The sequence below is a fragment of the Homo sapiens genome, chromosome 7 (genome assembly GCF_000001405.40).
Source record: "Homo sapiens chromosome 7, GRCh38.p14 Primary Assembly".
Classification (NCBI taxonomy): Eukaryota; Metazoa; Chordata; class Mammalia; order Primates; family Hominidae; genus Homo; species Homo sapiens.
In genome coordinates this window covers 19,649,289-19,669,976 of record NC_000007.14, presented here as the reverse complement: position 1 = coordinate 19,669,976, position 20,688 = coordinate 19,649,289, and the positions used below count along the sequence as shown (strand labels likewise).

The 20,688-nt window shown below is 39.9% G+C and overlaps 1 long non-coding RNA gene across 1 annotated transcript in view; it reads right to left on the bottom strand.

Moving 5' to 3' along the window:
* Positions 1 to 425: 425 nt before the first annotated feature.
* The window catches only part of LOC105375180 (uncharacterized), a 93,261-nt gene continuing 72,998 nt past the window's right edge, over positions 426 to 20,688 (bottom strand). Inside the window, exon 5 of the long non-coding RNA XR_007060245.1 lies at positions 426 to 1,806. This is a non-coding gene — a long non-coding RNA (uncharacterized LOC105375180). The remainder of the gene's footprint in view (positions 1,807 to 20,688) is intronic.

Genomic DNA, 20,688 nt, shown 5'->3' with positions numbered 1-20,688 from the left:
ACTAGACGGCACTTCAGCACTATGTTCGGGGCCATTCTAAATGACTGAATTCCAAAAAAAAAAAAAAAGAGTGAAAAATATGTAATTAAGTACGCTGCAAAAAGGATGCTTTACTATGAGAGCTGAAGCAAGAAAGCAAAGTGTCACCTTATTCAACCTTGGTGAGGAATGCTAGGCAACACAAATGTTTTACCACTCTTTGCATGCCTGTGAATTACTGCAAAAAGATGGTGAGAGTATTAACTTGGAGTTATTATTAAGTTTTAGTGAGCAGACCAATGTGCACTATGGAATCTGCAAATAACGTTCAGGTGTATTTTAAAATCATATATCCACCAAAGTACTTACATTCTGAATATGTAACAGTTAAACTCCACAGTAAAAAAAAAAAAAAAAAAAAAAAAAAGCAATAAAAAACGGGTAGCAGGCAAACATTTTCAACAGACACTTTACCAAAAGAGATATAGGGATGGCAAATAAGCACATGAAAAGATGCTCAATATCATATTAGCATTAGAGTAATGCCAGTTAAAAGCACAGTGACACACCAAGTCCTATGACATACCTAGTAGAACCGCTAAAACAAACAAACAAAATAAACTGACAAAACCAAGTGCTAGCAAGGATTCAGAACACGTAGATATTTCACACATTGCTAGTGCAAATGAAAAATGTACAGCTATTCAGGAAAACAGATTGGTGGTTTTAGGTAAACTTAAACTTATACTTACCATTTGAGTCAACAAATCGATTCCTTATTATTTACCCTGGAGATACAAAAACTTAGGTTTGGGAACCTGTACATGAATGTTTATAGCAACTCTATTAATAATCATTAGAAATTAAAAACAGTCCAAAGGTATTCCAATGGATAAGTGCATCATACAAACTCTCATCCATAGATACATCCATACAATGGAATACTGCTTAGCTATAAAAAAAATAAATCATCAACACATGCAACAATATAGATGAATCTCAAAGGCAGTTTCTGTTGAATGAAGGAAGCCAGTCTCGAACAGTTACATACTATATGATTTTACTTAATAACATTCTGGGAAAGAGAAATCTGTAAAGACAGGGACAAGAGCAGTAGTTGCTAGATTGAGTAATGGAGAGATGGTTTGACTAGAAAAAAAAAAAAGCAGAAGAAAAAGTTCTGCGGTGTAATAGAACTAGTCTGTATTTTGATTGTGGTGTTATATCAATATAAATGCATTAAAATACAATTGCGCACCAAAAAAATCCTTTTCACAGTATTTAACTTAAAAATATGGGGGTCATAAACATTCAATTGTTAGAAACGTTAAATTCAATATATTCTTCTTATAAGTTTTATTCTTTCTCTTTTCTCATGCACTACTTAAAAAAAAAATAAAATACACAGTGTTTTAACACATCCAAATTCTCCATCAGTGAGAAAATGAATGAATGTATGTTGTGCATATATATGTACAATAAAGAAAATTTTGATAATTTCTCCCCAGTTCTCGTGACCATTTTCTGCACCATTAGGTACTCAAAGAAATGTAGTTAAGTCTAGTGCCTAATTTTACAGGCTCAAGCACACTTCTTTCAAGCTCTGCAATCACTTTTCAAATAGTACAATATTATATTAGTTCTTTCTTGCACTGTTATAAAGAAATACCTGAGACTGGGTAATTTATAAAGATAAGAGGTTTAATTGGCTCACAGTTCTGCAGGCTGTACAGGAAGCATTGTGGCTTCTGCTTCTGCGGAGGCTGGAGGAAACTTCCAGTCGTGGTGAAAGGCAAACAGGGAGCAAGGCACTTCAGAAGGAAAAGGCTGGAGCAGAAGGAAGAGAGAGATGGGAGAAGACGCTAGACACTTTTAAGCAACCAGATCTCATGAGAACTCACTCACTATCAGGAGAACAGCACTAAGCAGGATGGTGTTAAATCATTCATGAGAAACCACCCCCATGAACCAATCACCTCCCACCAGGCATCACTGCCAACATTGAGGATTATAATTCTACATGAGATTTGGGCGAGGACACAGATCAAAACCATATCAAATGGTCTTGAATTCATCTAGATTAGGAAAATCTTCACTCTTCCTGAATTTCAAAAAGTTTTTCAAAATAATTCAGTCATTATTTCTTTCCTTATGTTTAGTTTGAACTCTTAGAAAATGCCATTTCATTTTTCCTCCAGTTTGAATTCTATTTTTTAATTTTTTTTGAGATGGAGTCTCACTCTGTTGCCCAGGATGGAGTGCAGTGGTGCTATCTCGGCTCACTGCAACCTCTGCCTCCCGGGTTCAAGCGATTCTCCTGCCTCAGCCTCCCGAATAGCTGGGATTACGTGCCCATGCCACCAGTCCTGGCTAATTTTTGTATTTTTAGTAGATACAGGTTTTTGCCATGTTGGCCCGGCTGGTCTCAAACTTCTGACCTCAGGTGATTTGCCTGCCTTGGCCTCCCAAAGTGCCAGCATTACAGGCATAAGCCACCATGCCTGGCCCAGTTTGAATTTTAAATGTAAGGATGGTTTTCCTAACAAAATGTCTTATGTACTATACTCTGTATGAATGCATTGTTAATTAAAAGAGGACTTGATACCAGCTCTTTGAGATGGGACCCAGAAGATCCCAAGGTTGCTGATCGTAGCTGTCCTCATTTATAGCAAGATTCTTTCTACTTGGACAAGCTACTTTAAAGTAGAGGTGGCAATTTTGATTTTTTTGTTTGTTTGTTTTTACAAACTGTTTAGATCATCTCCAAAGGGATTTTCAGTTTTCCTAAAAATAGCAACTTTAGGGAAATTGTGAAATCATGATGCTTTCCTAAAAGGAGATATTCTACATTCCATATCACATCTTTCAGACATGTTTGAAAATTTCGATAAATATGTCATTAAACGATCCATTAAGTAAAGTTATTTTCTACCCTTCAGCTTTTCCTCTAAGGGGTTTTCAAGATAGTCCATTTAGGTTAAGCAAGTACTTGTCAGGTAAGTCAGGGTGTAATAACGAAGTATTTTTAGCCCAGGAGACTCCCACTGGATCTTACTCAATTTGTTCATCTTGGTTTTTATTACGACATTTAAAATCAGACTTAATATTTTTTACAAGGCTAATTTATACTGACCTAAGATAAAGCTTACCTTTTAATTCTTGCACTGTTAGACTCATTGTTGGACTCAGACATTTACATATATACATACATAGTCCAAGTGTTTTTAAAACTTCATTAATAACAGCAATATCAGCTTAATCATTCATTTAAAATGTTATTTCTCATTTGTTTGTTAAAAAAATTAGTCCTTCTCAGATAATTTTTAAAATTCGCTTAGTTTTGTAAATAAGACACTTTGTCCTTGCTATGCAAATGGAAAGATTGCATGAAGGAGTGCATGGGTGTGAGCCTTGGCAGAATTAGGTTCAAACCTTTGGGTGGATTACTTAATTCTGAACCTCTGTTTTCTCATCTCTCAAATGGGGACAATAATATTTGTCTTGTAGGGATGTTAAAGTTCTAGAAATAGTATAAGAAAAGGAATCAGTCAGTGGCTGGCAGTAGTTGTTGGCCCACAATTAATGGCAATAATTTGAAACCAATAACTTCTACAACCCACAGATTTAATTTTTTTCCCTGAAAGAAAACTCAGCTCTCTTAACAGGTATTCTTTCTTTAGTCTAGCATCCAAGAAAAATTTGTTTATGCAGTATATATTTATGTTAGAGATTGTATTCCTTAAAAAAGAAAAAACAAAACAAAATAATAATTGATATTTATAAAAACACCCTTAAAACTTCTAGATATTTTTACTATTAAATTAAAAATGATTAATATCAGATTTTAAAATGGTAATGGCTATCAACATTTCCAGAATAACTTTTTCTTCCACTTTTCTTTTAAATATTGGATTTCTTTTCACTGTAAACATAATACCATTGTTATCAAGTACGTTTTTCCTTATGGTGTATAAAATTATTTATATTATATGATATATACATATACATTTAGTTTTTAATTTGAAATTTTCTAAGATTTCTTCTAGTCTATGCCTTGGTTTTCCTTAGAGAAAACTAACCCAGCACTTGTGTTTTTAATTTAAAATGTATTTTTAATCAAAATATGCATATTAAAATTAGTCCATGATATTACCTAGTATCAGTGTTTTGTTCTTCTCAAAGTTTTTTTTTCTTCAAATTAGGTGAAATTTTGCTCTTGAGTAGTCAATAGTTGAGAAGTCATTATTTAAAAATCAATACATTTTCTGGTATTTCTTCAAAGAGAGAAAGTCAAGGAAAAGCTTCTATTTCAGAGTCAATAGATTTGTAATCATTTATTTGTTGTTGAAGGAATTTCTATGCATTTTTCATACTCTACCACAAGGTGGAGTATTGCTTTAAATATTGGACCTTTTTACCCCATGTGTTCCCAACTAGACTAATTCTATTATGTAGGTAAACGGTGAAATAAAATTTTGGTGAATGTTAACAGAACTTTGGGCAGTAAAATTTTGATCACTAAAGGATTCACCTGATAACTACTAAGGTATATTAAGAAAAAAAGCCATAAATATTGCATTCAATGGCCCTCAACAGAAGAAAGCAAATTTATTCCACTGTAGGGACTTTATGACATAAGTCTTGAAATGATATTTAACTTTCATATATCTTTTTCCTCAAAGGCAGGAGTGTCATAGCCTACTGTTTAGATAATTTACTTCTATTTTGTATATATGCATTAATTGTGATAATGTAGTCTGTGCTGAAGAGCATTCATTGAATTCCATTACATTGTTTTGAAATGACGGCTGTGCTACTGAATTGCTTTAGAATCATGCTGAAAACTTACCAGAACAAAATTTTTTATTGACACTAAATAATTTCTAGCTGAGGTACAGTCAAAGGAAATCCTTCAATTACTCGATGCTGCTTTTAATTCAGAGCAAGCAGATGATCTCCCCAGAAGCTAAGGCTACTTGCAGGAATTTTTATGGATTTAACGGTCATGAGATTACATCTCTCTGACATCTCTCTGCCTTACCACTCTTGTTTGTAACTCTACAGGCTAATGGCAGGGGCTATGATAGGTAGCAACATAGATATAACAGAATCACAAATGACAGTTATTTATGAATGTGAAGAATGCATGCTTAAATAGTATCCAGTGGCTCACCTCTCAGACCTCTATGAGAAGACAAATGAAATGTTTGAAGTGCTGCACATGACTTAGACCAAAATGTCTCATATTCTCATTCAGACATATCTATTTTTTAAAAAAAATTTCAACTTTTGAACATTGGATGAAGAAGTAAAAAAGAAAAAGAGGATTTTTCCTAGCTCCTCAGCCCACCCCCAGCATGTATACAAAGCTAAGATTAAGACAGTAAAAAGACAAATTCTAATTTGGAAAGGTAAGGATGACATTTAAAGCCATTATTTCAAAATCAAAGAGATGTTTAATTTTTCTTTTTATAATTGCTGAATAGTAAGACACCAAACAGTTTATGTTTAGACCAAATTGTACTTTTTCACTGATGTGCAGTTCAAATAACATACAGTAAACCATTTTAAGTTGTACAATGCAGTGGCATTTAGTGTATTTGAAATGTTTTGCAACTACTTCCTCTTTCATTTTCAAAACATTACCACCTCAAAAAACACCTTGTAGCCATTACATGATCACTCAATATTCTCTGCTTTCTCTGTCCCCTAGCAACCAGAAATCTGCTTTCTGTCTGCACGAATTTGCCTCTTCTGTATATTCCATTAAAAAGACATAATATATAACCTTTCAAATCTGGCTTCTTTCATTTAGCATAATGTTTTCAAGGTTCATGCATGTTATAGCATGTGCCAGAATTTCATTCCTTTAAGGCTGAATAATATTCTATTGTATGTATATTACCACATTTTGTTTACATTCGTCTGCTAATGGACATTTGGCTTGCTTCCACCTTTTGTCTATTGTAAATAATGTGGCAATGAACATCGGCAAACAAAAACCTGTATCCTAGAAGTGGAATTGCTAGATCATATAGTAATGTTATATTTAGATTTTTGAGGAGCAGCCAAATCGTTTTGTACAATGGTTGCTTCATTTTACATGTCTACCAGGAATGTATGAGGATCCCAATATCTCTGTATCTTTGTCAATACTTATCTTCTGTTAAACAATTATATAATTCCTAATAGTTGTGAAGTGGTATCTCATTATGGTTTTGTGTTTTCTTAATGACTAATTATGTTGAACGTCGTTTCATGTGCTATTGGTCATTTGTATTCTTCCTTGAAGAAATGTCTGTTCAAGTCCTTTGTTCTGTTTTTAATTAGATTGTCTTTTTGTTGCTGAGTGTTAGGAATTCTTTGCATATACTGGATATTAAACCCTAATCAGATATGATTTGCAAATATTTTCTCCAATTCCGGAGGTTGTCTTTTCACTTTCTTGGAACTGTCCTTTGATGCACACAATTTTTTATTTTTATGAAATCCAACTTATCTTTTGTTGTTGTTGTTACTTGTGCTCTTGGTGTTAAATCTATGAATTCATTGCCAATTAGAAGTCATCAATTATTACTCCCAATGTTTTCTTCTAATAGTTTTAGAGTTTTGACTCTTGCATTTTGGTTGTTTTTCCATTTTGAGTTTGCATATGAAGTAAGGTAGGAGTCTAACTTAATTCTATAACATGTGGTTGCCCTGTTGTCTCATCACGTTATGGCAAGGAACTATTCTTTCCTCATTGAATGATCTTGGCACCTTTGTTAAAAATCAATTGTCCATAGATGTTCAGGTTTTCTTTGGGACTTTCAATTCTAGTCCATTGATGTAGATTTGTATCCTTATGCCAGTATCACATTGTTTTGAATACTGTAACTTTGTAGTAAGTTTTAAATCAGGAAGTGTGAATTCTTCAAGTCTGTTTTTCCCTTTATATATCATTTTGGCTATTTGGGGGTCCCTTGAAATTTCATGTGATTTTTGGAACTGGCTTTTCCATTTCTGCAAAAAAAAGGCAATAGGAATTTTGATAGAGATTGCATTGAATCTCTGTATCACTTTGTGGATATCTGTTGCCATCTTAACTGAATTAAGTCTTTCAGTCCATGAACACAGGGTGTCTTTCCATTTATTTAGGTCTTTAATTTCTTTCAGGAATATTTTGTCATTTTCAGTATATAAATCTTGCACCCCATTGTTTAAATTTCTTCTTTGGTATTCTTTTGGATGCTAATGTAAATATTATTATTTTCTTTATTTGACCTCAGATTGTTTATTGTAGGTGTAAAGAAACACAGATTTTTTAATAATGATCTTATAACACAACTTTGCTGAATTTGTTTATTAGCTCTAATAGGTTTTTTAAGGGGTTCTTTGGGATTTTCTATTTATTTCATCATCAAATAGTTTATTCATTCTTTTTTACTTGGATATCTTTTATTTATTTTTCTTGCCTAACTGGCAAGACTGGCCAGAACTTCCAGTATAATGTTGAAGGGCAGTGGTAAGAGTGGACATCCTGATGTTATTTCTAATCTTAAAGAAAAGCTTTCCATCATTCACCATCGAATATGATGTTAGCTGTGGGTTTTTTATAAATGCCTTTACCATGTTGAGGAAGTTCCTTGCTGTTCCTAGTTTGCTGAGTGTTGTTATCATTAAGGAGTGTCAGATTTTGTCAAATGCTGTTTTCGTGCCTATTGAAATGACGACAGGTTTTGGAGTCTTTTTCTCCCCGTTGGTTTTATAAATATGTTGCTTTTTATTGGCTGATTTTCATATGTTTGACCACTCTTTTACTTCTTGGAAAAATCAAACTTGGTGATGGTATATAAACATTTTAATGTACTGTTAAATTCAGTTTGCTAGTATTTTGTTGCAGATTTTTGGCTTTATTTTACTAATGGGTATTGGTCTATTTTTTTCTTTTCTTGTAATGTCTTTGTCTCATTTTAGAATCAGAGTAATGCTGGAATCATAGGATGTGCTAGAAAGTGTTTCCTCCTTTTCTATTTAGGAAGAGTTTGAGTAGGATGGGTGTTACTTCTCTATATATTTGGCAGACTATATCAGCAGAAGTTATCTGACTATGGACTTTATTTCTTGTGAGATTTTTGATTACTTACTGATTCAATCTTTTACTTGTCGGAGCAGTGTTAAGATTTTCTGTTCTTTCTGAAGTCAATTTTGATAATTTGTGTGTTTCTAGAAATTTGTTCCATTCACCCATTTATAAAATTGTTTAGCCTACAATTGTTCATAGTATCCTCTCAAAATATTTTTAATTTCTTAAGGTCAATAGTAATATCCCTACTTTTATTTCTAATTTGAGTGATTTATGTATTCTGTTTATTTTTCTTAGCTTGACTAAGAAATGCCAATTTTGTTGATCTTTTTAAAAAACCAACTTCTGGGTTTGTTGATTCTATTGTTTTTCTGTTCTTTATTTCATTTATCTCTGCTCAAATCTTTATTGCTGCTTGTTTGGGATATAGTTTTCCTTAGTTTTTAAAGCTCCTTAAGGTGTAAAGTTGGGTTGTTGATTTGAGCTCTTTCTTCCTTGTTAATGTGGATATTCATAGCTATATACTCCTCTCTAGGCATTGCTTTTGCTACATCCTCTGTTTTGATTTTTGTGTTTTAATTTCCATTTTCATTTATTTCCAAGTATATTCTAATTTTTCTAATGACTTTTTTTGACCCATTGGTAGTTTAAGAGCATGTTGTTTAATTTTCATTTATTTGAGAATTTTCATTTTCCTTCTGTTATTTATTTCCATCTTCACTCCACTGTACTTGGATAAGATACTAAACATAAATTCAATCTTTTAACATTTACTGAGAATATATTATAGCTGTAAATATTTATAGCCTGGAGAATGTTTTATGTGAACTCCGCTTTCATTGTGTGGTGTGTTTCTGTATACAGCTGTTAGGTTTAATTGGCCTATGGTGTTGTTCAAGTCTTCTACTGTTGATTTTATTTATAGATATTCTATCCATTCTTGAGAGTGGAGTATTGAAGATTCCAACTATTATTGCCAAATTATCTATTTTTTAAATTCAATTCTGTCAGTGTTTGTAAAATGGACCAATCAGCTGGATGTGGGTGGGGACAAATAAGGGAATAAAAGCTGGCCACTCCAGCCAGCAGCGGCAACCCATTCATGTCCACTTCCATGCCGTGGAAGCTTTGTTCTTTTGCCCTTCACAATAAATCTTGCTGCTGCTCACTCTTTGGGTCTGTGCCACCTTTAAGAGTTGTAACACTCACCACAGAGGTCTGTGGCTTCATTCTTGAAGTCAGCGAGACCAAGAAGTCACTGGAAGGAACTAACTCCAGACACATATTGGTGACCATGAAAGAAGCATCACCAACTGGTGAGTACCATCGGACCTCTTTCGCTTGCTATTCTGTCCTACTTTTCCTTAGAATTCAGGGGCTAAACTCCAGGCACCTTTCAGCCAGTTAAAAGCAACTAGCGCAGCCAGCAGACTAAAGACACAGGTGTCAGGCTTTCTGGGAAAGGGCTCTCTAACAATCCCCGACTCTTCGGAGTTGGAAGTGTTGGTTTGCCTGGAACCAGCTTTCGCTTTTCCTGTACTTCTGGGCTGAGCTGAGTGTTGACAGAGAGGAAAACCATTCAGCTCTGGGGTCCCGACAAAACGTTGGTTGACCCTGCAGACATGAGCAGAACTCTCAAAGTCACGTTGCCCAAGTGAGACTCTCCCATCTATCCTATCTTTCCTGACCCTTGCCTCCTGGGTCCTAATGCCTTCAGACAAATTTCCTTTCACTTCTCTTCTCCAAGGCTATTTCCACTTCTAAAAACCACTCCTTGTCTCTGGTGCTTTTCTAGTTTCTCCTAGAAGAATGATTTCTAGTATAAATTTTGGGACTCTGTTCCTTTCTTCAGGCACCCAGGCTCACCAATCAGAAAGACATAATTTTTGCCCAAAGCCCCATCAGCGGGAGACTATCTGGAATTTTAGGATCCCTCCTCACACAAGCAGGCCTAACAAAGGCTATTCCTGAAGTTAGGATATGGGGAGCCTCAGAAACGATATCCTTCCTATCCATAAGATGAAAAGTGAGGACAAAAGGCATCACTCTTCCAACCCTAGAGATCTCTTCCCTCCCTCAGGGTGTGGCCCTCCACTCCATTTTGAGGCATAACATCTTTATAGGACGGGGTAAGGTCCCAATACTAACAGGAGAAAACGCTTAGGACTCTAACAGGTTTTAGAGACTGTGTCGGTAAGGGCCACTAAATCCGATTTTTCTTGGTCCTCTTCATGGTCTAAGAGGAAAGGCAAGGGTGCAGCTTTTCAAGAATGCATTGCTAAGGGCCACTAAATCCGACCTTCCTCAGTCCTCTTTGTGGTCTAGGAGGAAAACTAGTATTTCTGCTGCTGCATCAGTAAGTGCAACTATTCCGATCAGCAAGGTTCAGGGACCGTCGCGGGTTCTTGGGCAAGAGGGGATCTGCTGCTGTGTTGGTGAGTGCAACTATTCTGATCAGCAGGGTCCAGGGACTGTTGTGGGTTCTTGGGCAAGAGGGGGACCTGCTGCTGCGTCGGTGAGTGCAACTATTCCCATCAGCAGGGTCCAGGGACCCTTGCGAGTTCTAGGGCAAGGGGGGAATAACAAACCAAAACCGCAGGTGATTTTTTCTTTTAGATAGGAAACACTCAGGCGTCAACAGGCTCACCCTTGAAGTGCATCCTAAGCCATTGGAACCAATTTGACCCGCAAACCCTGTAAAAGAGGCAGCTCACTTTTTTCTGCACTACAGCCTGGCCCCAATATTCTCTCTCTGATGGGGAAAAATGGCTACCTGAGGGGAGTATAAATTACAATACTATCCTGAAGCTTGACCTTTTCTGTAAGAGGGAGGGCAAATGGGGTGAAATACCTTACGTCGAAGCTTTCTTTTCACTGAGGAGAATGCACAACTATGTAAAGCTTGCAATTTACATCCCACAGGAGGACCTCTCAGCTAACCCCCATATCCTAGCCTTCCTATTAATGATAAGTCTCCTCTAATCTCCCCTGCCCAGAAGGAAATAAGCAAAGAAATCTCCAAAGGACAACAAAAAACCCCTGGCTATCAGTTATGTCCCCTTCAAGGGGTAGGGGGAGGGGAATTTGGCCCAACCCAGGTACATAACCCTTTCTCCCTCTCTGATGTAAAGCAGATCCAGGAAGACCTGAGGAAGTTTTCAGATGTTCCTGATAGGTACATAGATGTCCTACAGGGTCTAGAGCAAGCCTTCAATCTCACTTGGAGAGATGTCATGCTATTGTTAGATCAAACCCTGGCCTTTAATGAAAAGAATGTGTCTTTAGCTGCAGTCTGAGAGTTTGGAGTTACCTGGTATCTCAGTCAAGTAAGTGATAGAATGACAGTCAAAGAAAGGGGCACATTCCCTACTGGTCAGCAAGCCGTTCCCAGTATGGATCTCCACTGGGACCTAGACTCAGATCATGGAGACTGGAGTCATAAATATCTGTGGACCTGTGTCCTAGAAAGACTAAGGAGAATTAGGAAAAAGTACACGAATTATTCTATGATGTCCACCATAACTCAGGGAAAGGAAGAAAATCCTTCTGCCTTCCTCAAGCAGCTACGGTAGGCCTTAAGAATATATACTCCCTTGTCACCCAACTCACTTGAAGGTCCATTGATCCTAAAAGACAAGTTTATTACCCAATCAGCAACAGTTATCAGGAGAAAGCTCCAAAAGCGAGCCCTGGGCCCTGAACAAAATCTGAAGGCATTATTAAACCTGGCAACCTTGGTGTTCTATAATACGGACCAAGAGGAACAGGCAGAAAAGGAAAAGCAAGATCAGAGAAAGGCTGCAGCCTTAGTCATGGCACTCAGACAAACAAACCTTGGTGGTTCAGAGAGAACAGTAAATGGAGCAGGCCGGTCACCTGGTAGGGCTTGTTATCAGTGTGGTTTGCAAGGACACTTTAAAAAAGATTGTCCAGTGAGAAACAAGCTGCCCCCTCGCCCATGTCCACTGACATGGCAAGGCAATCACTGGAAGGCGTACTGCCCCAGAGGTCAAAGTTTCTCCGGGCCTGAAGCCCCCAACCAGATGATCCAACAACAGGACTGAGGGTGCCTGGGGCAAGCGCCAACTCATGTCATCACCCTCACTGAGCCCCAGGTACATTTAACCTTTGAGGGCCAAGAAATTGACTTCCTCCTGGACATTGGCATGGCTTTCTCAGTGTTAATCTCCTGTCTCAGACAGCTATCCTCAAAGTCCGTTACCATCCGAGGAATCCTGGGACAGCCTGTGACCAGGTATTTCTCCCACCTCCTCAGTTGAAATTGGGAGACTTTGCTTTTTTCACATTCCTTTCTTGTTATGCCTGAAAGTCCCACACCCTTATTAGGGAGGGACATATTAGCCAAAGCTGAAGCTATTGTCTACGTGAATATGGGGAATAAGTTACCCATTTGTTGTTCCCTGCTTAAGGAGGGAATCAACCCTGAAGTCTGGGCATTGGAAGGACAATTCAGAAGGGCAATTCAGAAGGGCAAAAAATGCCTGCCCAGTCCAAATCAGGTTAAAAGACCCCACCACTTTTCCTTATCAAAGGCAATATCCCTTAAAGTCTGAAGCTCATAAAGGATTACAGGATATTGTTAGACATTTAAAAGCTCAAGGCTTAATAAGAAAATGCAGCAGTCCCAGCAACAAATTCTAGGAGTACAAAAACTGAACAGTCAGTGGAGACTAGCGCAAGATTTTAGACTCATCAATGAGGCAGTAATTCCTCTATATCCAGTTGTACCCAACCCCTATACCCTGCTCTCTCAAATACCAGAGGAAGCAGAATCGTTCACTGTTCTGGACCTCAAGGATGCCTTCTTCTGTATTCCCCTGCACTCTGACTCCCAGTTTCTCTTTGCCTTTGAGGATCCCACAGACCACAACTCCCAACTTACATGGATGGTCTTGCCCCAGGGGTTTAGGGATAGCCCTCATCTGTTTGGTCAGGCACAGGCCCAAGATCTAGTTCACTTCTCAAGTCCAGGCACTCTGGTTGTTCAGTATATGGATGATTTACTTTTGGCTACCAGTTCGGAAGCCTCATGCCAGCAGGCTACTCTAGATCTCTTAAACTTTCTAGCTAATCAAGGGTGCAAGGTGTCTAAATTGAAGGCCCAACTCTGCCTATAATAAGTCACATATCTAGGCCTAATCTTAGCCAGAGGAACCAGGGCCCTCAGCACGGAATGAATACAGCCTATACTGTCTTATCATTGCCCTAAGACATTAAAACAGTTTTGGGGGTTCCTTGGAATCACTGGCCTTTGCCAACTATAGATCCCCGGATACAGCGAGATAGCTAGGCCCCTTTATACTCTAATCAGGGAGACCCAGAGGGCAAATACTCATCTAGTAGAATGGGAACCACAGGCAAAACAGCCTTCAAAACCTAAAAGCAGGCTCTAGTACAAGCTCCAGACTTAAGCCTTCCCACAGGACAAAACTTCTCTTTATACATCACAAAGAGAGTGGGAATAGCTCTTGGAGTCCTTACTCAGACTCATGGGACAACCCCACAACCAGTGGCATACCTAAGTAAGGAAACTGATGTAGCAGCAAAAGGTTGGCCTCACTGTTTACAGGTAGTTGCGGCAGTGGCTATCTTAGTATCCGAGGCTATCAAAATAATACAAGGAAAGGATCTCACAGTCTGAACTATTCATGATGTAAATGGCATTCTAGGTGCCAAAGGAAGTTTACGGCTATCAGACAACTGCCTGCTCAGATACCAGGCACTACTCCTTGAGGGACTGGTGCTTCTAATACACATGTGTGGCCCTCAACCCTGCCACTTTTCTCCCAGAGGATTGAGAATGAATCGAGCATGACTGCCAACAAATTATAGTCCAGACTTATGCCCACTGAGAGAATCTCTTAGAAGTCCCCTTAGCTAATCCTGACCTTAACCTGTATGCCGATGGAAGTTTATTTGTGGAGAATGGGATATGAAAGGCAGGTTATGCCATAGTTAGTGATGTAACAGTACTTGAAAGTAAGCATCTTCCCCAGGGACCATCACCCAGTTAGCAGAACGAGTGGCACTTACCCGAGCCTTAGGACTGGGAAAGGGAAAAAGAATAAATGTGTATACAGATAGCAAGTATGCTTATCTAATCCTACATGACCATACTGCAATATGGAAAGAAAGGGAGTTCCTAACCTCTAGGGGAATCCCCATTAAATACCACAAGGAAATCATGGAGTTATTGCAAGCAGCACAAAAACCCAAGGAAGTGGCAGTCTTGCAATGCCGAAGCCATCAAAAATGGGAAGGAGAGGCAGGGAAAGACCAGCAGAGAGGAAAGAGACAGACAGAAAGTCAAAGAGAAAGAAAGAGGTGGTGGGGAGGAGGGAAAAGACAGTCAAAGAGAGCAGGAAAGAGAGAGAGAGGAAGAGACAGAGAGACAAAGAAGGAGTCAGAGAGAGAGGAAGAGACAGAGAGACAGAAAGAGAGACAGACAGAAAGGCAAAGAGAGAAGGAAAGAGAGAGAGAGAGATAAAAGTATAAAGAAAAAACTGTGTACCCTATTCCTTTAAAAGACAGGGTAAATTTAAAACCTATAATTGATAATTGAAGGTCTTATCCATAACCCTATAACACCCCAATACCACCTTGTCAGTGTAAACAGGGGCGTAGCCCGAAAGCACTGAGGTCACTCACAACCCATAGCCTTCCTACTAAAAATCCTTAACCCAGGAAGTTTCCTAACAGGGGATCTAAATCTTAATTAATTACCATACAAAGGTCCAACTAGACCTAGGAGGAACTCTCTTCAGGACAGGACAATAGATGTTTCCTCCCGGGCGATTAAGGGAAAAAGACACAGGGGATATTCAGTAAGTGATAAGGAAACTCTTGTAGAAGCAGTTAAGAAAAATGCCTAATAATTGGTCTGCTCAAATGTGTGAGCTGTTCGCACTCAGCCAAACCTGAAAGTATGTACAGAATCAGGAAGGAGCCATCTATACCAATTCTAAGTTAATATGGACTGAACGAGGTCTTATTAATAGCAAAGAATAATTGAAATCCCAAACTTCAAAGGTTTTCAACAAAAGTAAGTTTGCTACCAAAACCACTAAGGCCTAGACCTCCTCACTACTGAGAAAGGAGCACTTTGTGCCTTCTTAGGGGAACAGTGTTGTTTTTACACTAACCAGTCAAGGATAGTACGAGGTGCCACCCAGCGTTTACAGGAAAAGGCTTCTGAAATAAGACAATGCCTTTCAAACTCTTATACCAACCTCTGTAGTTGGGCGACATGGCTTCTCCCCTTTCTAGGTCCCCTGACAGCCATCTTGCTATTACTCGCCTTTGGGCCCTGTATTTTTAACCTCCTTGTCAAACTTGTTTCCTCCAGGATTGATGCCATCAAGTTACAAATGGTCTTACAAATGGAACCCCAAATGAGCTCAACTAACAACTTCTACCGAGGACCCCTGGACTGACCCACTGACCCTTTGGCTGGCCTACAGAGTTCTCCTCTGGAGGACACTACCACTGCAGGGCCCCTTCTTCACCCCTATCCAGCAGGAAATAGCTAGAGTGGTCATCGCCCAATTCTCAAAAGCTGTTGGGGTGTCCAGTTTAGAGGAGAGATTGAGAGGTGAAGCCAGCTAGACTTCTGGGTCAGGTGGGGACTCGGAGAACTTTTCTGTCTTACAAGAGGGTTGTAAAATGCACCAATCAGCACTCTGTAGCTAGGATTGTAAAACACACCAATCAGCGCTCTGTGGCTAGCTAGAGGTTTGTAAAATGTGCCAATCAGTGCTCTGTAAAAACGCACCAATCAGCGCTCTATGGCTAGCTAGAGGTTTGTAAAATGGACCAATCAGCACTCTGTAAAATGGACCAATCAGCAGGACATGGGTGGTGACAAATAAGGGAATAAAAGCTGGCCACCCCAGCCAGCAGTGGCAACCCGCTCAGATCCCCTTCCATGCTGTGGAGCTTTGTTTTTTTTGCTCTTCACAATAAATCTTGCTGCTGCTCACTCTTTGGGTTTGTACCACCTTTAAGAGCTGTAACACTCGCCACAGAGGTCCGCAGCTTCATTCATGAAGTCAGCAAGACAAAGAACCCACCAGAAGGAACCAACTCCAGACACATTACTTTAAAGTTTATTTTGTCTGAAATTAAAATAGCAACACTTGATAATTTATGTTTTCCACTTGCTTGATAGATTTTTCTCCATCTCTTTACTTTGAGCCTATGATGTCATTGCATGTGAGATGGGTGTCTTCAAGACAGTATACCATTTTTTGTGTCTTGCTTCTTTATCCAATTCACCACTCTGTGTCTTTTAATTGAGGCACTTAACCTATTTACATTTAAAGTTAGTATTCACATGTACAGATTTCTTCCTGTCATCATGTTGTTAGCTGGTTATTATGCAGACTTGGTCGTATAGTTTCTTTATAGTGTCACTGGCCTATGTACTTAAGTGTGTTTTTGTAGTGGCTGGTAATGGTCCTTCCTTTCCATGTTTACCACTATTTTCAGGACCTCTTGTAAGGCCAGTCTTGTCTGGTGGTAACGAAACCCCTTAGCATTTGCAAATTTGAAAAGGATTTTATTTCGTCTTTGCTTAGGAAGCTTAGTTTTGCTGGATTTGAAATTCTTGGTTGGAAATTCCTTTTCTTTAATAATGCTGAGTATAGGCCTCCATTTGCTTCTAGTTTTTAGAGTTTCTGCTAAAAGATCTACTGTTAGCCTGATTGGGTTCCCTTTGCAGGTGACCTGCCCCTTCTCTATAGCTGCCTTTAGCATTTTTTTCCTTTTATTTAGATTGGAGAATATCATGACTGTGTGTCTTAGGGATAGTCTTCATTTGTATTATTTTGGAGGTATCCTCTGCATTTCTTGAATTTGAAATGTTGGCCTCTGTAGCGAGGTGTGGAAATTTTCATGGAAAATATACTGAAATATGTTTTCCAATTTGCTTGCTTTCTCCCCATCTCCTTCAGGGATGCCAGTGAGTCCTAAATTTTGTCTCCTTATGTAATCTCATATTTCTTGGAGGTATTGTTTGTTCATTTGTTCTTTTTCTTTAGTTTTGTCTGAGTTAGTTAGTTTGAAGAACCTGACCTGATCTCTGAGATTCTTTGCTCAGCTTGGTCTATTCTCCTGATAATACTGCAGTTGCATTATGAAATTATTCTAGCGTTTTTTTTCAGCTCTATTAGATCAGTTTGATTGTTTCCTATAATGGTCATTTTGTCTATCAACTCCCACATTAATTTATTGTAATTCTCAGATTCCTTGAATTGGGTTTTAACTTCCTCCTGAATCTCAGTAATCTTCATGCCTATCTGTATTCTGAATTCTGTTTCTGTCATTTCAACCATTTCAGCCTGGTTAACAACACTTGCTAGAGAACTAGTATGGTCATTTGAAGGAAAGAAGACACTCTGGCTTTTTGCATTGCCAGAGTTTTTGCACTGGTTCTTTCTAATTTTGTAAGCTGATTTTCCTTTAATTTCCAGGTAATTTGAGTACAGTCAGTAGATCTTTTTTCTGGATGTTTTCAGACAGTCAAGGCTTTGTGCAGGGTCCTTATCTGTAGCTGAATTTTTGTCCTTGTTTTCACAGGGGTGTACATTAGCAAAGCATTTTTGGTGTCAAAGTTTGGGCTGCAATCCTGTAGACAGTGTTTGGGCATAATGGTTAGTAGGTAGGTTCTTGCTCAGCCACCTGGGTTCTCTGTATTACCTCATGATTGCAGCCATGCTCCCTCTCAACGCTCTCAAACTGTGGGCTCCTCTCTCATTTGAGTGCTGTCTGCATATCTTGGCTTAGCGCTCTTGAGCTGCACACTGCAGCTCTGGGGTGAGCTTATACTTTATGTTCCCTCTGCAGCTTGGAGGCAGGAGGGGAAGGGATGTTGGTAGTGGATGTGGCAGAGGGTCTTTTACTTGTCTCTTGGGGTTCCACCCCAGAGAAATGCAGAGCCACTATAAATAACTCTGACTGGCCCAAGGTGGGGGCGCCTTCTCTGTGGGCCCAATCTGAGGGGACTCTGCCTGGTGATGAACATGGGGTACAGAGGGGTCATGAAGACAGACTGGCCTCATCTCCTTACGGTCACTGCAGCTTGCTGGAGGTGTGCTTAAAGCACTAAGGATCTTTGCCCTTTCCCCAGTCCAAGGGTAAAAATAGCAGTGCCACTGCAGTGGTACTGGCAGAGGGGCTTTCAGTTGTCCCTGGGTCTAGCTCAGAGAAATGTAGAGCAACTGCTACCAGAAATGTTCAGTGAGAGGGTAGAGAGGCTGCACTGCTGCCTGAGTCAGGGGCTCTTCTTGGTGAAGAGCCAGGGTTGACGGCTCTCAGAGAGAAGAGACAGAGCTCCTCTCCATACAGTGACTGTGGCATGCTGGAAGTACAAGTGAAACCCTTGCACTTGCAAGTGGTTCAGCAGGAACAGAACCATTGCTGTGTTAGTGGCAGAGAGGCTGTTGGTTGCCTCTGGGGGCCCCTTCCCAGGGAATCACACAGCCAATACCAGTGGGTAAGCTCAGCCAGGGATGGGACAACTGTTTTGTGGTCCCAAGTTGGGGCCTCTGCATTCTGAAGAGTGGAGTATGGAAGCTTACAAGGAAGAGAGGCTGGACTCCTCTCTGTATGGCAGCTGCCGAGTGGTGGAGGTTCCAGCATAGCAACCAGGCCTTTTGTTCCTTCTCCAGCCCAATGGTGGTTAGGGCAGTACTACGGCCGCTGCAATGGCAGAGGGGCTATGGGTTGTCTGTGTGATTACCTCCTCAGAGAAATGCAGAGCCATCTCTGACTAAAGTGTTTGGGTAAGGGCAGGGTAGTTGTGCTAGAGTCCTAGGTCAGGAAGCTTTGACCAGTGAAGAGAAGTGGGAACGGGGACCCATGTGGAAAACAGTCTGGCCAGTTTTCTGTGGGGCAGCTTTGCTGTGCTGAGGGATCTGTGCCAATTCCTAATCACCGTGCTCCACCCAGGGCCTGAGGGCAACAATGGTGAGGGTTGTAGGACAGCAAGAATGGCCACCTGCATCTCTGGGAACTCTGTCCCAGGGAAGTACAGAGCTGCTACTGGCCTGAGAGCCCAGCCGAGGGTTGGCTGGAGTCCTAGGTTGGGAGGCTCTGTCCAGTGAGGAAAAGCAGAAATGAGGACCTGCATTGAAAACAGTCTGGTCACTTTTCTTTGGGGTGGCTTCACTGTGCTAGGGATCCACTCCAATCCCTAATTACCATGCTCACTCCAGAGCCTCAGGGCAACAGTGGTGAGGGGTGTGAGAGAGCAAAAATAGCAGCCTGCCTTTCCCTCTGGGAGCTCTGTCTCAAGGAAGTTCAGAGCTGCTACCAGCTTGAGAGCCCAGGTGGGGCAGAGGAGGGCACACTATGGTCCCAGTCCAGAGGGCTTTATCCCAAGAGGGCCAGTAGAGGCAAACTCTGCAGTCTGTCATGGCTCAGCCCCCAGGATTTGGCTCCTTTTTTCAGGGTATGCAAGGGAGCCTGACCTCCCCCATAGCTGGAGCTGGAGCCACTAATGCTGGGATGCCTGGGGATCCAAGGCACCTGGGACTCCATGTGTGCCTGAGTGGTGGCCTTGCCCAGACTCCATGTAGCTCTCCATGTCAGTCTGGAGGACTTGGAGTGGGGACTCATGCGGGAATCTCCTGAGCCCAGGGTTGCAAAGCTCCGTGGCAGAAGTGTGGGTCCCTGGGGACTCTCACTCACTTACAATTTCCCTACTATAGAGGGACCTACCCTGGCTTTGTGCCACTCCTGGGTGGGCAGTTGTCCTGTCTCGCTCCTCTCTGTTCTCCATGGGTCGAATTGTTTCCTTGATTAATCCCATTGAGTCCACTTGGACATTCCAGCAGAAGAGGTTGTATTTACTCACAATTGTTTCTCTCTCAGTGAGAACAGTGCACACTAGCTGCTTCTAGTCAGCCATCTTTACTCTTCTCAAATGCTTTTTATCTTTTCCTTTCTCTGTCTTGTCTTCTGTGAATTCTATAACGTGCATATTGGTATGCTTGATAGTGTCCCATAAGTCCCTTTGTGTCTTCATTTTTCTTTCTTTTTTCTTTCTTCTCCTCAGGCTGGATAATTTTATTTTAGCTATCTTTAAGTGCCCCAATTCTTCAGAAGTTACATCTCGGTTTAACCATTCTAGTGATTTTTTCATTTTGTTTGTTGTACTTTTTAGCTCCAAAATTTATAGTTGGTTTCTTTTTATAATTTCTATCTCTTCATTTGGTATTTCCTACTTGTTCATACATTATTCTTCTGATTTCCTTTTTTTTTTTGTCCATGGTTCCCTTCAGTTCTTTGAGCATATTTAAGATACTAAAGTATTTGTCTCGTAAGTCCAATGTAAGAACATCCTTGAAAATAACTTTTCTCATTTTATTTTTCTAAGTAAGTAGGCTAGAACTTTCTCCTTTTATTTTTGTTGATTTTGTTGTTGTTGTTTAGAAATGGACCCTTTGACTATTTTAATGTATTGACAGTAACTCTAGAAATCAGATTTTTCTCCCTCTCCAGGATTGTTCTTTTCTAATTGCAGGTTGCAGTCATTCATTTGTTTATTACTTTTCCAAACTATTTTTGCAAAGACTATTCCTTTTTTTCTCTGTGGTCACTGAAGTCACTCTTCTGTTATCTGT